Here is a 15,364-nt window from a genome sequence, read left to right as displayed (position 1 = left end):
GCAATGGAGAGCAGCCAGGAATGACAGGGTGGGAGGATTCCAGTTTTAAATAAGGTGACTACAAGAAGCTGGCACTTGACCAAAAATCTGAAGGCTGTGTATGATAAAAACGACCTCCGGTTTGTGAAATTACCTAGATTTGGAGGGCTAGGAAGAGACTCTTTTTGGTCAGAAACCACAGATTCCTAAGTGCTGTGACTCGTGAAACTGGGTTTGCCCCTTGCGGCAGCCTGAATGCTAAGACCATGGAGCTATTACAAAGATATGAGCTTTATTTGGGATAAAGAGCTTCTTAGCAAGGGTAGCACTTCTCATTGTGAAGATTAAATGATGTCAAATAAGTTAAGCGCTTAGAAGGCTGCCTGGCACCACAGGAAGCCCCTGTAAATGTTTGTGAAAAGATCAAATAAAATAACCATTATTAGATGGTGGAGTTTTTTTTGGAGGATGGGAAGTTGTAATGTCAGATATTGAGCTTTGGACCTAACAGAAATCCTAGCTTGTCATCTCTGGGCAAGTTAGAAGTTTTAGTTAATTTCTCTGTCACCTTTTCTCCTTATTATCTTCCCCGCAAGTAGGAAGAAGTGGGGAAGTCCTCAGAAATCTTTCATAAAGGAGGCACTGCATCATCATCTGCAGAGTCAACCAAGCAACCGCAGCCACAGGTTCATCTCGTCTCTGCTGCTTGGCTAAAGATGAACTGACCTGGCAAGTGCCATGGCAATGACCCGGAAGTTACCGCTCCTTTCCGTTTGTCTACAGCGCCCCTGTGGTCACACATAGATTGGACAAATGCCACTATTTCTAGCTTTCCTGTGAAAAGTCTAGGCTCATTCACCTATTTTGGCTTTTTATGTTCATAGAAAGAACAAGACATTTGGGAGAATTCTTAGATCCAGAGTCCAGTAGTGTGGCACGTGCAATGAAGTGTCGGAAGGATGCATTTTAAAGATGGCGGGCGGGAGAAGTGGATTTTCTTCTTGCAGCTACTGCCACCTTGCCAGAAACTCACTAACTGGCATCTGGATTCAGCTCATAGTTCCCTTTCTGGCCTCTCTGCTGTATTTTATGCTCCCAAAGATCTTACATTAACACTCCACATTCACATAATTCAACAATTTTCATATGGATCAGTATTAAAGAGGGTGTTGCATTTTGCAATACAAAAATGCATTATCAGGTGCTGGAGAGGATGTGGAGAAATAGGAACACTTTTACACTGTTGGTGGGACTGTAAACTAGTTCAACCATCGTGGAAGTCAGTGTGGCGATTCCTCAGGGATCTAGAACTAGAAATACCATTTGACACAGCTATCCCATTACTGGGTATATACCCAAAGGACTATAAATCATGCTGCTATAAAGACACATGCACACGTATGTTTATTGTGGCATTATTCACAATAGCAAAGACTTGGAACCAACCCAAATGTCCAACAATGATAGACTGGATTAAGAAAATGTGGCACATATACACCATGGAATACTATGCAGCCATAAAAAATGATGAGTTCATGTCCTTTGTAGGGACATGGATGAAATGGGAAATCATCATTCTCAGTAAACTATCGCAAGAACAAAAAACCAAACACCGCATATTCTCACTCATAGGTGGGAATTGAACAATGAGAACACATGGACACAGGAAGGGGAACATCACACTCTGGGGACTGTTGTGGGGTGGGGGGAGGAGGGAGGGATAGCACTGGGAGATATACCTAATGCTAGATGACGAGTTAGTGGGTGCAGCACACCAGCAAGGCACATGTATACATATGTAACTAACCTGCACATTGTGCACATGTACCCTAAAACTTAAAGTATAATAATAATAAATAAATAAATAAATAAAAAACCAAAAACAAAAATGCATTATCATCCTAGCTTAGGGGTGTATTGTCACTGCGCAGGCTCTTTTGTCCAAGACACTGACATTTTCCCCATTTTCTTTGCCTGAGACTTTTTTATTTATTTATTTATTTTTTTTTGAGACAGGGTTTTGCTCTGGTTGCCCAGGCTGGAATGCAGTGACATGATCTCTGCTCACCGCAACCTCTGCTTCCCAAGTTCAAGAGATTCTCCTGCCTTAGCCTCCTGAGTAGCTGGGATTACAGGCGCCTGCCACCACGCCCAGCTCATGTTGTGTATTTTTAGTAGAGACAGGGTTTCACCATGTTGGCCACGTTGGTCTTGAACTCCTCGTCTCAGGCAATCCACCCTCCTTGGCCTCCCAAAGTGCTAGGATGACAGGTGTGAGCGACCTAGCCCGGTCTGCCTGAGACTTTTGGAACCTACATGTACACATGGGTTAAAGATCATTTTGTTTTCTTAGTGTCCTCTTGAACATGTCCCAGTACAAATGTCTGGAAACAAAAAACGTGGGTCATTCGGACTCATTTTTTCGTTTTACCATGTCTAATTACTTTTACAAAGTTACTGGTTTTTAGGTATGTTTTCAGCATATTAATAAATGTGTGGATGATTGTTATGACAGAACAGCTCCAAAAAGATTTTAAATGCTAATGACTGTCAATGTTAAAATAGGCAAGAGTTATCATCATTTATTTGAAGAAATTTCAAACCAGGCGCGGTGGCTCATGCCTGTAATCTCAGCACCTTGGGGGGCTGAGGTAGGAGGATTGTTTGAGGCCAGGAGTTTGAGACGCCCTGGAAAACATAGTGAGACCCCATATCTACAAAAAATTTACAAAATTAGCTAAGCATAGTGGTGCATTGCTGTACTCCCCACTACACAGGAGGCTGAGGCGGTAGGATTGCTTGAGCCCCAGGAATTCGAGGCTATAGTGAGCTATGATTGCACCACTGCACTCCAGCCTGGGAGGCCGTGGTACTCTGTCTCAAAAAAAAAAAAAAAAAAAGAAAATCATGTGAGGTCTTCTTCTAGGGTTGCAGACAAAGGGTTGAGGACTTTTCTGCTTAATTAAAGCAAATGTCTCCTCCATAGATATAAACAGAGTAGTGTACATCCACTCCACCTGCTGGCTTTGAAGTTATGGGATTCCTTTGGAAAAGGGAAAATGAAGGGATATTCACATGGTTGCAAAATGTGTGCATGCAGCGCAACTTTTTGTTTTGCATAATTTCAAATGTACACGAATAAAGGCTTCGTAAAATGCAATATTCCTGGGCAGCTGAGAAACCCTTGTGCCGAATTCCTAGTCATGTTGCGATTGCTCTCTGGTCCATGGCAGTTGAAGAAAGACAGAATAAATAAGCCATGTATTCTAGGTGTTGCAGATTTGAATTCAGACTCCTCTATTGGCCATTTTTCCTCCCTTCCAACTTGAAGGCTGCTTTCTTCTTTTTTTCTTGTTCTTTTTTTTTTCTTTCTCTCTCTCTCTTTTTTTTTTTTTTTTTTTTTTTGATGGAGTTTTGCTCTTGTTGCCCAGGCTGGAATGCAATGGCACAATCTCAGCTCACTGCAACTTCCACCTCCCGGGTCCAAGTGATTCTCCTGCCTCAGCCTCCCGAGTAGCTGGGATTACAGGCATGCGCCACCACACCCAGCTAATTTTGTATTTTTAGTAAAGATGAGGTTTCTCCCTGTTGGCCAGGCTGGTCTCGAACTCCTGAGCTCAGGTGATCCGCCCGCCTCAGCCTCCCAAAGTGCTGTGATTACAGGCGTGAGCCACCACTCCCGGTCGGCTGCTTTCTTTCCTTCCTGCCTCTCTCATTCTTTTCCATTCTTTTTAAGAGCCAATCTGGCTTCTGCTTCCTTCAAAACCGATTTCTTATTCAGGCTTTCAAATAAATCCATCTTTTAAACTCAATTTATTCAGGTCTGTACAACATGACTTACCCTTCTACATGGTGTGCTGTTTCACAAATGATGTCACGTGTGTTTGTAAATCCTGCCTCCCTGAATTAGAAAATTCGTGAAGGCAAGAATGGCAGAGATGATACATTAAATATTCTCGGCCTCCACCTAATTATTATGTCTCAAACTCTGCGCTATTGATATTTTGGGCTGGATAATTTATTTATTTATTTATTTTCTTGCGACGGAGTCTCGCTTTGTTGCCCAGGCTGGAGTACAGTGGCGCAATCTTGGCTCACTGCAACCTCCGCCTCGCGGGTTCAAGCGATTCTCCTGCCTCAGCCTACTGAATAGCTGGGACTACAGGCGCATGCCACCACGCCCAGCTAATTTTTGTGTTTTTAGTAGAGACGGGGTTTCACCATGTTGACCAGGATGGTCTCGATCTCTTGACCTCGTGATCCACCTGCCTCGGCTTCCCAAAGTGCTAGGATTACAGGTGTGAGCCACTGCGCCGGCTGATAATTTCTTATTTGTAAGGGGTTGTTCTTTGTATTGTAAGGTGTTTAGAAGCAGCTTGGCCTTATTCAGTAGGTGCCAGTGACACTTCCCCACCAGTCATGACAATCAAAAATGCCTCCAGAGGGGGGGTGCAGTGCCTCACACCTGTGATGCTGGCACTTTGGGAGGCTGAGGTGGGCGGATCACTTGAGACCAGGAGTTCGAGTTCCAGCCTGGCCAACATGGTGAAACCCTGTATCTACTAAAAATACAAAACAAATCAGCTGGGTGCAGTGGCTCACGCCTATAATCCCAGCTATTCAGGAGGCTGAGGTGGGAGGATTGCTTGAACCCAGGAGGTGGAGGCTGCAGGGAGCCGAGATCGTGCCACTGCACTCCAGCCTGGGCTACAGAGAGAGACCCTGTCTTAAAAATATATATATATATATTTTTATTTGAAATATAAATATTTTTTATTTGAAAAAATATATTTTTAATTTGAAATATATATTTTTTATTTGAAATATATATTTTTTATTTCATATATATATAATGTATATATATAATGTATATATATTGTGTATATATATAATGTATATATATATAATGTGTATATATATATAATGTGCATATATATAATGTGTATATATATATATAATGTGTATATATATATAATGTATATATATATGCTTCCAGACATTGCCACCTGGGAACAAAAATGCTCCCAGTTGAAAACCATTGGTCTAGGGATTAGTTTATAGGTAAGGACAAAGTTGCAGTAATAAATGCAGATGTCTGAGGTGATTTAGGGCAAGAAAAATGAGAAAAACAATAGCTCTGAAACGTGCTATTGTGAATAGCACAAAACGTGAAAGTTTTCAGTTAGTGAGTCAGACCCAGTTCCAATATCCAGGGATTAAAATTGTATAATATTAACATAAGTTGGTAAAATGTTTCTATTCAATTACAAGGAACTAGGGGAATAACTGAATTCTATCTTATGTTAGCTTTGAACTTCCCTGGGATTGGGTGTCCTGCTGAGGCAGGAGAATTGCTTGAACCCGGAAGGCAGAGGTTGTGACGAGCCGAGATCACACCACTGCACTCCAGCCTGGGCAACAGAGCAAGACTCCATCTCAAAAACAAAAAAACAAGGGAACAAACAACAGATACCAGGTCCTTCTTGAGGGTGGAAGGTGAGAGGAGAGGATCAAAAAACTACCTATCAGGTAGTAAGCTTATTACCTGGATGATTAAAAAAAGTCTGTGCATGAAATCCCCATGACATGCAACTTACCTATATAACTAACCTGCACATGTAACCCTGAACCTAAAATAAACATTAAAAAAAGAAGTCTAAGTGAATGGCAGAAAAAAATTTTTTTTTTTTTTTTTTAGTAAGTGAAATGCTTACTGGAATGTCTAAGAAGTTTGCAATATCATTAGAAACAATACTCTTTTTTGAATGCAGTTCAAAATCTCATGACAGTGAACTTCAATCAAGTATCTAAGGGACTCATAGCTTTCTTTTTCATATTTGATGATCATGAGCAGAGTAGCTGGTACTGTTGCTGCCCGTTCCTAATTTCCTTTTCAGCCCCCATCCTCTTCTCCAGGAAACTGGTTTCAGCTGAACAGGAAGTGCTCCATCTGGAAGGTGACGCACTGCCCTACCATTGTCGGGGCAATGTAGCCAATAATTGACTGACACAGGCATAAACAAGGCTTGGGCCCTTGACTCAAAGTGAGACCAACTCTGAGGTATGACTCATGCTCCAGCGCTCCCCGGAGATCAGGCTGCAATCACTTCCAGCTGAGACCATAGCCTTACCCTCCAACTTCCCAACCCCATCCTGACTCCCTCACTTTTCTCCTCCAAGCACTCCCTCAGTAAATCATGGGCACCACAATCCTGGTCTCAGGCTCTGCTTTTAGAACACCTGACCTCAATCACTTATTGTCATTTTATAAATAGTAATATTAGTAATAGAATGAGCACAGGGTTATTGTTACTGGAAAATTAAACAAAAGAGATCTGTTTTGAAGATTCTGAAAATCAGAATCTGTTATTTATAAAACCAAGAGTGATCACTTCACGACACAGAATATCAGAATAGTGTTCTGTTGCTGTGCAGTAGATAGACACACTCTCTTTCCTGGATATATTCATTTAACAAATATTATTAACCCAATCAGTGACCCCAATCTTCTGCTGGATAGTAAACTTACAGAGATAAATGAGACAATGAACTCATCTGAAATTGATCCAACATACCAAGTATTACAAATAAAAAGTTAATAACTTTAGGCAAAATGGAACAGAAAGGTCACATCAGAAGGCAACCAGATGGCTTAGAACTGATGATGGAAAGATTTTCTGGGAGCAAAAATTAAATAAACTTCAAATTACTATATTGGTCTATTTATTTATTTTTTTTTATGAGATGGAGTCTCGCTCTGTCGCCCAGGCTGGAGTGCAGTGGCGTGGTCTCGGCTCACTGCAAGCTTCGCCTCCCAGGTTCACACCATTCTCCTGCCTCAGCCTCCTGAGTAGCTGGGACTACAGGTACCCACCACCACGCCTGGCTAATTTTTTTGTATTTTTAGTAGAGACGGGGTTTCACTGTGTTAGCCAGGATGGTCTCTATCTCCTGACCTTGTGATCCACCCGCCTCAGCCTCCCAAAGTGCTGGGATTACAGGTGTGAGCCACCACACCCAGCCAAATTACTATGTTTCTAATGGCTACTTTTAAAATTATTTTATTTTAAATTTTTATCTATTTATTTATTTAGAGACCAGTTATGAGACTGGCTAATTTTTGTATTTTTGGTAGAGACAGGGTTTCGCCACGTTGCCCAGGCTAGTCTTGAACTCCTGGGCTCAAGTCATTCACCCACCTCAGCCTCCCAAAGTGCTAGGATTACAGGCATGAACCACCATGCCCAGCCTCTAATGGTTTGTTTTTTACAGTTTGGGAAAGTTTTGGCAGCCCTTGTATAGTGAAAAATGTTTGTCTTTAATCAAACACTAAGGGGAACATATAAATTTCTTCCCACTTATAACCTATTACTAATTTTAAAGTCACTTATGCAGTAGAGTGTTAAAATTTTAGCTCAAAGATGTTCATTACAGTGTTGTTTATAGCACTGAAAATTTAGAAATGATACAAACTGGGATTAAATACTTTATGACACATAAACACCCTAGATTACCATGAAGAGCTTCAAAAAAAAAAGTTTTAAAATATTTGGGGCTAGGTGCAGTAGCTCATGCATGTAATCCCAGCACTTTGAGAGGCTGAGGTGGGTGGATCACCTGAGGTCAGGAGTTTGAGACCAGCCTGGCTAACATGGTGAAACCCCGTCTCTACTAAAAATACAAAAAAAAAATTAGCTGGGTGTGGTGGTGCATGCCGGTAGTCCCAGCTACTCAGGAGGCTGAGACAGGAGAATTGTTTGAGCCCAGGAAGTGGAGGTTGCAGTGAGCAGAGATTGTACCACTGCACTCCAGCCTGGATGACAGAGTGAGACTCCATCTCAAAAAAAAAAAAAATAAAGAAAAAGAAAAAAAATATATTGAGTGGCTGAATGAAATTTTTAAAAGACCAAACTGTATGCTTCTTACAAGAGACTCACCTCACCATTAAAGACAAACAGACTGAAAGTGAAGGGATGGATAAAGATATATCATGCAAAGAGAAACCAAAAGTGAGTGGTATAAGTCATACTTATACCAGATAAAATTGATGATAAGTCAAAAACTATCGTAACAAAAAGAACCAAAGAAGATCATTAGCTAATGTTAAAGATATAGCAGTTCAGTGAACCCAGGAGACGGAGCTTGCAGTGAGCCCAGATAGCACCACTGCACTCCAGCCTGGGCGACAGAGCAAGACTCTGTCTCAAAAAAAAAAAAAAAAGATATAGCAGTTCAACAAGAGGCTATAACCATCATCAACATATATACACCCAACGCCAAAGCATCCAAATATATAAAGCAAATGTTATTATATCTAAGGGATAGATAGACTGCAATTCAGTACTTATAGGGGACTTTGACATCCCACTTTCAACAATAGACAGATTGTCTAGTCAAGAAATAAACAAATACACATGGATTTAAACTATTCCATAGACCAAATGGGTCTAGCACACATTTACAGGACATTCCAACCAACCAGTGAAGAGTATACTTTCTTCTCAACTATACGTGGAACATTTTCTAGGATAGATCATGTTAGTGTCCATGTAATGTCTTTTTTTTTTTTTTTTTTTTGAGACTCTCGCTCTGTTGCCCAGGTTGGAGTGCAGTGGCACAATCTCAGCTCACTGCAACCTCTGCCTCCCAGGTTCATGCCATTCTTCTGCCTTAGCCTCCCGAGTAGCTGGGACTATAGGTGTCTGCCACCATGCACGGCTAATTTTTTTTTTGTATTTTTAGTAGAGATGGGGTTTCACCGTGTTAGCCAGGATGGTCTCAATCTCCTGACCTCATGATCCACCCACCTGGGCCTCCCAAAGTGCTGGGATTACAGGCGTGAGCCACTGCGCCTGGTCAGAACAAGTCTTAACATATTTAAGAAGATAGAGATCATATCAAGTATCTTTTTGGACCACAGTGGAATAAAACTAAAAATCAACAACTATAAAAACCTTGGAAAACTTAGAGCTATGTGGAAATTAGACCTTATGCTCTTAAATAACTGATGGCTCATTGAAGAAATTAAAAGGGAAATTTAAAAATTCCTTGAGACCAATGAAAATGGAAACACATCATACAGAAACCCCTAACACATAGCAAAAGGAAAGTTCATAGCAATAAACACCCTACCTCAAAAAGAAGAAAGGTTTCTAATAAACAACCCAACTGTGCACCCCGAGGAATTAGAAGAATAAGAACACAGTAAGCCAAAAATTGGTAAAAGGAAGTAAATAATAAGACTCAGAGCATAAATAAACAAAATACAGACGAAAAGCAAGTCAAAAAATCAATGAAAAGAAGAGTTGGTTTTTTTGAAAAGATAAAATTGACAAACCTTTAGCTAGACTAAGAAAATAGAGAAAATATCCAAATAAATGAAATAAATACAATATAATATCATTAGCTATAGTCTTTATGCTGTACATTAGATTTCTAAACTTATTTTTCCTACATAACTGCAACTATGTGCCCTTTGACCTACTTCTCTCCATTTCTCCCTCACCTCATCCCTGTTCCTCATAACCGTTATTCTATTCTTTCAGTGTGTTTGATTTTCTCAGATTTCACATATGAGATCATGCAGTATTTGTCCTTCTGTGCCTGGCTTATTTCATTTAGCGTAATGTCCTCTAGGTTCATTCTTGTTGCTGCAAATGGCAGGAATCTCCTTTTGTATGGCCAAATAATATTTTTTTAATGATTTTTCTTTTCAGACACCAATTTAAAAACTGTTATTGATGAGTTTACTTCCATTAGAACCAGTAAAGTATAATTTTAATAATTCTAGTTTGGGAACTATAAAATACTTAAATTTAAAATACTTTTTAGGTTCTAAAATAATTACTTTTCAATGTTTCAATGTTTTTAACTACTTCAGTGTTTGAGGGGGAAGCACAATAGAGGTGGTCAATACATTTTTTTTTCTGAGACAGAGTCTCACTCTATCACCCAGGCTGGAGTGCAGTGGCGCGATCTCGGCTCACTGTAAGCTCCGCCTCCCGGATTCAAGCGATTCTCCTGTCCCAGCCTCCCGAGTAGCTGGGACTACAGGCGCCCGCCACCACGCCCGGCTGATTTTTGTATTTTTAGTAGAGACGGGGTTTCATCGTGTTAGCCAGGATGGTCTCAATCTCCTGGTCTCATGATCAGCCTGCTCCGACCTCCCAAAGTGCTGGGATTACAGGCGTGAGCCACAGCACCCGGCCAATAAATATTTTTTGAGTGAATGGATCTGTAATTTTCTGTACACAATTATTTGGATTATAAGATAGCAAAGTTATTTCACATTATATTCATGGGATTTGCAGCCACTTAGGGTTTTCCATATATAATATCTGTACATATTTATGGGGTACATGTGATATTTTGTTGCATGCAGAGTTTGCAATGATAAAGACAGGGTATTTGGGGTGTCCACCATCTTGATCATTGATCATTTCTAGCTGTTGGAAACATTTCAAGTTTTCTCTGCTAGATATTTTGAAATATGCAATACAGTGTTGCTAACAATAGTCACCCTACTCTACCAGTGAACTTCAGAACGTATTTCTTCTACTCATGCATTTTTTTTTTTTTTTTTTTTGAGATGGAGTCTCGCTCTGTCACCCAGGCTGGAGTGCAGTGGCACGATCTCGGCTCACTGCAAGCTCCACCTCCCGGGTTCACGCCATTCTCCTGCCTCAGCCTCCCTAGTAGCTGGGACTACAGGCGCCCACCACCACGCCCGGCTAATTTTTTTGTATTTTTAGTAGAGTCGGGGTTTCACCGGGTGAGCCAGGATGTTCTCAATCTCCTGACCTCGTGATCCGCCCGCCTCAGCCTCCCAAAGTGCTGGGATTACAGGCGTGAGCCACCGCGCCGGGCCGCATTTTTTTTTTAATTGTCTCCTTTCTCCCTCTAGCGGAGACATATGAGACCACAAGGGTAAAAAAAATGTACCAAGTATAGCTTGATGTGTGTAGTACGAAAAAAATCCTGCATGGAGGTCACACCTTTATCCACTTACCTTAGAAATATAGAGCTTCTTAAGGTGACTATATTTCAGACCAACATGTAACACCGTTGTACAGACAGACAAAGCCTTAGGCAAATCTTCTCTCAGGAAAAAACTTTATTCAAGTAGTACAGAATTTATTATCCTGATATCTCAGAAGAAATTGAGATCAAAATTCTTTCTTTTTACATTCCAAATTGTTGCAGTCCAATGCAGAATGTTGACCATACTTTGGTTGTTGTATCCATCAGCAATTGCTACAAATAAATGCTTCATAACAAATAACTCCTGAAACTCAGTGTCTGAAAAATGATACTTTCTTGCTGCTCCTCAGTCTGTTTATGGGTTGGCTGAGCAGGTCTGCTGATGTTGGCTGGGCTCTCTCCTGTGATTAAAGCAGCAAGTTGGCATGGTGGCTGGCTGAGGACAACCTCCACCAGTGTAACTGCGGTGACTTACCCTTCATTCTGTGTTTCTCATGTCCCTCCAGCAGGCGGGCTTGGGCATGTTCACATGGTGGGGGTAAGGAAGCAAGGTGAGCAAATGTAATCGTGTAACTGGTAAGAAGGATTACACATACGATTTTGAAACTTACGTTCCAGTCACATTTCCTAACCTTCCACTGGCTGCAGCAAATCTCAAGTCCAACCCCAGAGTCAGACAAGGAGAGAGTTACAAAGTTACAGGAAAGGGATGTGGCTAAATGGAGACCATTATTGGGCCCATTGATGCCATTGACCTATGACAATTGGCTATGGATAGGAGCAGTGCCATCTCTTGCTTCCATCTCTCTAAGAACTATCACCTCTGTATTGAGCACTCTGGATAAGCCAAGCGTTGAAGACTAATTTATCATAGATGAACTCTTGTTCACAAACATGTGTCCCACCTCCCAAGTTAGGCTGCCAAGAATAACAAAGACAGAGCCTCCATCAACTGAGTTTAATATTGTTAACAAATTGTCCAGTGCATGATATGACTGAGCTAATTGAATCCTAACTGCTTAGGTGACTCAGAGTAAATATTATTCTAGTCTCTGTAACCCTAAACTAAGTATTCCTGGCACGAAAGGAAGAGAAAAAGGGGAACAAGGCATCTGGAGAAGGAGCTTTATGGTCAAGAGCTCAAAACCCAGCTCAACGACCTATGTGGCTGTGTGATCCTGGGATAGTCACTTAACCTCTCTGAGCTTCAGTTCCCCTGTCTTCAAAATGAAGAGTAATCATTCTAATCATTCATTCATTCATTCATTCAACATATTTGTTGAGACGCTACTTAATGCAAATCTCTGTACTTACGAAGCTCACAGTCTATGTTGGAGACACCCAACAAAAAGAGAAATCATAATACAGGGTGAGAAAGCATGAAGCTTTTTGGCACACACAAAAATAATGCCAAATTCTACTGTAGGAGATTCAAAGAATGCTTCCTAGCAGAGGGGATGACTACACTGCAACTCAAAGAGACAGAAGACATCAATTGAGTTTTCAGGGAAGTTATTCTAAGAGAAGATGCAAAGGGTCCAAGTCAAGAAGAAGACATTTCTCTCTGGCTTTAAAGACAAGCTCTGCTGTCAGCATGGCAAACAGAAGAATGTTCTACAATAGTGCTTTTCAGACACCCATGGTTATATTCATCCCCTGGGGATGTTAACATGCAAGTCCTGATCTAGGAGGTCTGGAGTGGGGTCTGAGATTCTTCTTTGCTTTTCTAACAAGCTCTCAGGTGATGCTGATGATCCAGGGACCACGCTTTGGATTGGGAGGTTTTACAGTGCCCATAGAAGTGAAAATACCTGCATTTAAACCTTCATCTTCTTCTCTCCCAAGCTCAAGAATTTAAGGATGGTGGCCGGGCGCAGTGGCTCATGCCTGTAATCCCAGCACTTTGGGAGGGTGAGGCGGGTGGATCATCTGAGGTCAGGAGTGCAAGATCAGCCTGGCCAACATGCTGAAACTCCGTCTCTACTAAAAATACAAAAATTAGCCAGGCGTGGTGGTGCACGCCTGCAGTCCAGCTACTTGGGAGGCTGAGGCAGGAGAATCACTTGCACCCGGGAGGCAGAGGTTGCAATGAGCCGAGATCATGCCACTGCACTCTGGCCTGGGCAACAGACCGAGACTCTGTCAAAAAAAAAAAAAAAATTAAGGATAGGTAGCGATAACTGTGATAGAGAAAATCCTAAATCCTAGCCAAGTCATTAGAAAGTTTCTAGAAAACAGGGAGGTCTTGGTTACCTGAAGGACCTCAGGAAACCAAAGCACTTTCCAAAGGTTGTTGTCACCAAGTGCTTCAACCCTCCAGGGAGTGCTAGAATTCTGCTACATCAAACATCCCCCTACTTACCAACACAACTATTTTTAAGTGTTTGTGCCAAAGTAGCTTATCTGTCTATGTGCCGTCTTGGTTCCCTGGGACTCTCATTACAGTTTTACTGACCATTTCTTTAAAATCACAAAGAGTCTTTATCCTAGGGTAAATCAGTCAGACAGGCGACAAATCATTTATTGAGAGGTTCTCTGTATCAGGCGTATGATAGGCTCTGGAGGGGCATGCTTAGAACCATGCACCAACAAGGGCAGGAGAAAACAAAATGGTAGCCAGGTGTTCTTGGTCATGCCATTGAATTTGGGTCTGTTCTCAGAAACTCTGGAATTGAAGAAGTTGCAGAGCACGAAGATAAAATGGTCGTTTGGAGCAGAAACGCCTGATTTCTCATCAGTGCATACAACCACAGGAAGACCGCCCCCAACATTCTTCCCCAGAGGGTTCTGGGGCTGGTGGGATCCTCATTTCCATGTTAAGCTGAGAAGAGATTTCAGGGTAGGCTCCTGCAGGAAACTACTGTCCTCAACTGTGGCTCCATAGCATATTTGAAAGCAAGAAAGGACTTTAACCCTGTGAGAGAGAAAAGAATTTCCTCAGAGTCTGCAGCAGAATTAATACAAACGTGATTCCAAGGGTCATGTCTACAGGGACAGAAGTATTAAAAATACAGTAACAAAGACTAGAAGGATAAACACTAAAATGTTAAATGCGATTGTCCCTAGTGTGGCAGGCAGAGTTGGAAAACCCAAAAGCCATTCTCAACCTCCTCAGCATTGACAGCGCCCACTCTGGACTTTAGGAAGCCAAACAGCTGTTGGTTCAAAATTTTTTGCCCATATGAGTGGTCACATGATACACTTCTGACCAATTAGGTAAAGGGAAATCTGAGAGTTTTCTGGGCTTTCATTTACTGTTAAAGACAAAGACATGAAAGAAGGGCTTTCTGGTCCTGTCCATCCCTCTTCTTCTTGACTTGAACATAGTCATGATGTCTGGAGCTGTGGCAACCATATTGCAACCATGAAAATACAATAAAATGTCAACATGTTGATGGTGGAATGGAAAACTGGGGAAAACCCAGATTCTTAGTTTAGAGCCTTTACAACACCACTAAGCATAGAACCAGCAACACCAGCAATATTCGCAACACCTAATTCTGGACTTCTTGCAAGGAAAATCATTTCCCTATTTAATTAAGCCACTGGATCTAAGGTGCTTGCATCCAAAAATATGACTCACTGGGATCTGTATGTGGTGGGATAATGGGAAATTTTATTTGTTTTCAATGCTTACAAATGTTTTCTAAAATGTTCTATACCTATACTGTCTTTTTCATTAAAACTATAGTAAACTGCATTATGTTTAAAAATGTATTGCCAAGAGAATATGTCATCCATGATATGGGCAATTTTTCCAGTGGGGTGATTCCTGTGGCTCATTCTGAAATCACTGGACTTAACCTCTATGACATTCGGTTTCCTCATAATGAAAATAGACCAGCTGGGCGTGGTGGCTCACACCTGTAATCCCAGAACTTTGGGAGGCTGAGGCAGGTGGATCACCTGAGGTCAGGAGTTCGAGACCAACCTGGCCAACATCATGAAACCCTGTCTCTACTAAAAATACAAAATTTATCTGGGTGTGCTGGCGGGCGCCTGTAATCCCAGCTACTTGGGAGGCTGAGGCAGGAAAATCGCTTGAACCCAGGAGGCAGAGGTTGCAATGAGCCAAGATCACACCACTGCACTCCAGCCTGGGTTACAGAGCGAGACTCCATCTCAAAAAAAAAAAAGAAAAAAAGAAAGAAAGAAAGAAAGAAAAAAGAAAATAGAGCAGTGATACCTACCTCACTGGACTTCTGCAAGGCTTAACACTGAGATCCTGCTATGTCCGAGGCACTCTTCCAACCCCATTGCATACTGGTTCATCTAATATCTAGTATAACCTTCCAAGGTAAGGATTACCATTATCCCCATTTTATCAGTGAGGAAACTAAGCTATTGAATTATTATTTACTCAGAAAATATTCACTAAGAACTTACTGTGTGCTAGACAGCATTT

The 15,364-nt window shown here is 41.4% G+C and overlaps 1 protein-coding gene, 1 long non-coding RNA gene and 1 pseudogene across 9 annotated transcripts in view; 2 read left to right on the top strand and 1 right to left on the bottom strand.

Moving 5' to 3' along the window:
- Positions 1 to 3,139, top strand: part of ADGRE4P (adhesion G protein-coupled receptor E4, pseudogene) — a 47,094-nt pseudogene extending 43,955 nt beyond the window's left edge. For both annotated transcript variants that reach the window (NR_024075.2, NR_174976.1), the window contains one exon: positions 579 to 3,139. The product of NR_024075.2 is annotated as an adhesion G protein-coupled receptor E4, pseudogene, transcript variant 1 (transcript). The remainder of the gene's footprint in view (positions 1 to 578) is intronic.
- Positions 3,140 to 13,446: 10,307 nt separating this feature from the next.
- The window catches only part of ADGRE1 (adhesion G protein-coupled receptor E1), a 52,872-nt gene continuing 50,954 nt past the window's right edge, over positions 13,447 to 15,364 (bottom strand). For all 6 annotated transcript variants that reach the window (XM_011527794.2, NM_001974.5, NM_001256253.2 and 3 more), the window contains one exon: positions 13,447 to 13,873. In XM_011527794.2, the coding sequence (XP_011526096.1) occupies positions 13,868 to 13,873 (6 nt within the window). In that variant the 3' untranslated portion in view covers positions 13,447 to 13,867. The remainder of the gene's footprint in view (positions 13,874 to 15,364) is intronic.
- The window catches only part of LOC105372256 (uncharacterized), a 36,712-nt gene continuing 36,541 nt past the window's right edge, over positions 15,194 to 15,364 (top strand). The window contains exon 1 of the long non-coding RNA XR_936288.4: positions 15,194 to 15,256. This is a non-coding gene — a long non-coding RNA (uncharacterized LOC105372256). The remainder of the gene's footprint in view (positions 15,257 to 15,364) is intronic.

This window comes from Homo sapiens, chromosome 19 (assembly GCF_000001405.40).
Source record: "Homo sapiens chromosome 19, GRCh38.p14 Primary Assembly".
NCBI classification, from domain to species: domain Eukaryota; kingdom Metazoa; phylum Chordata; class Mammalia; order Primates; family Hominidae; genus Homo; species Homo sapiens.
This window is presented reverse-complemented; position numbering and strand designations above follow the sequence as displayed.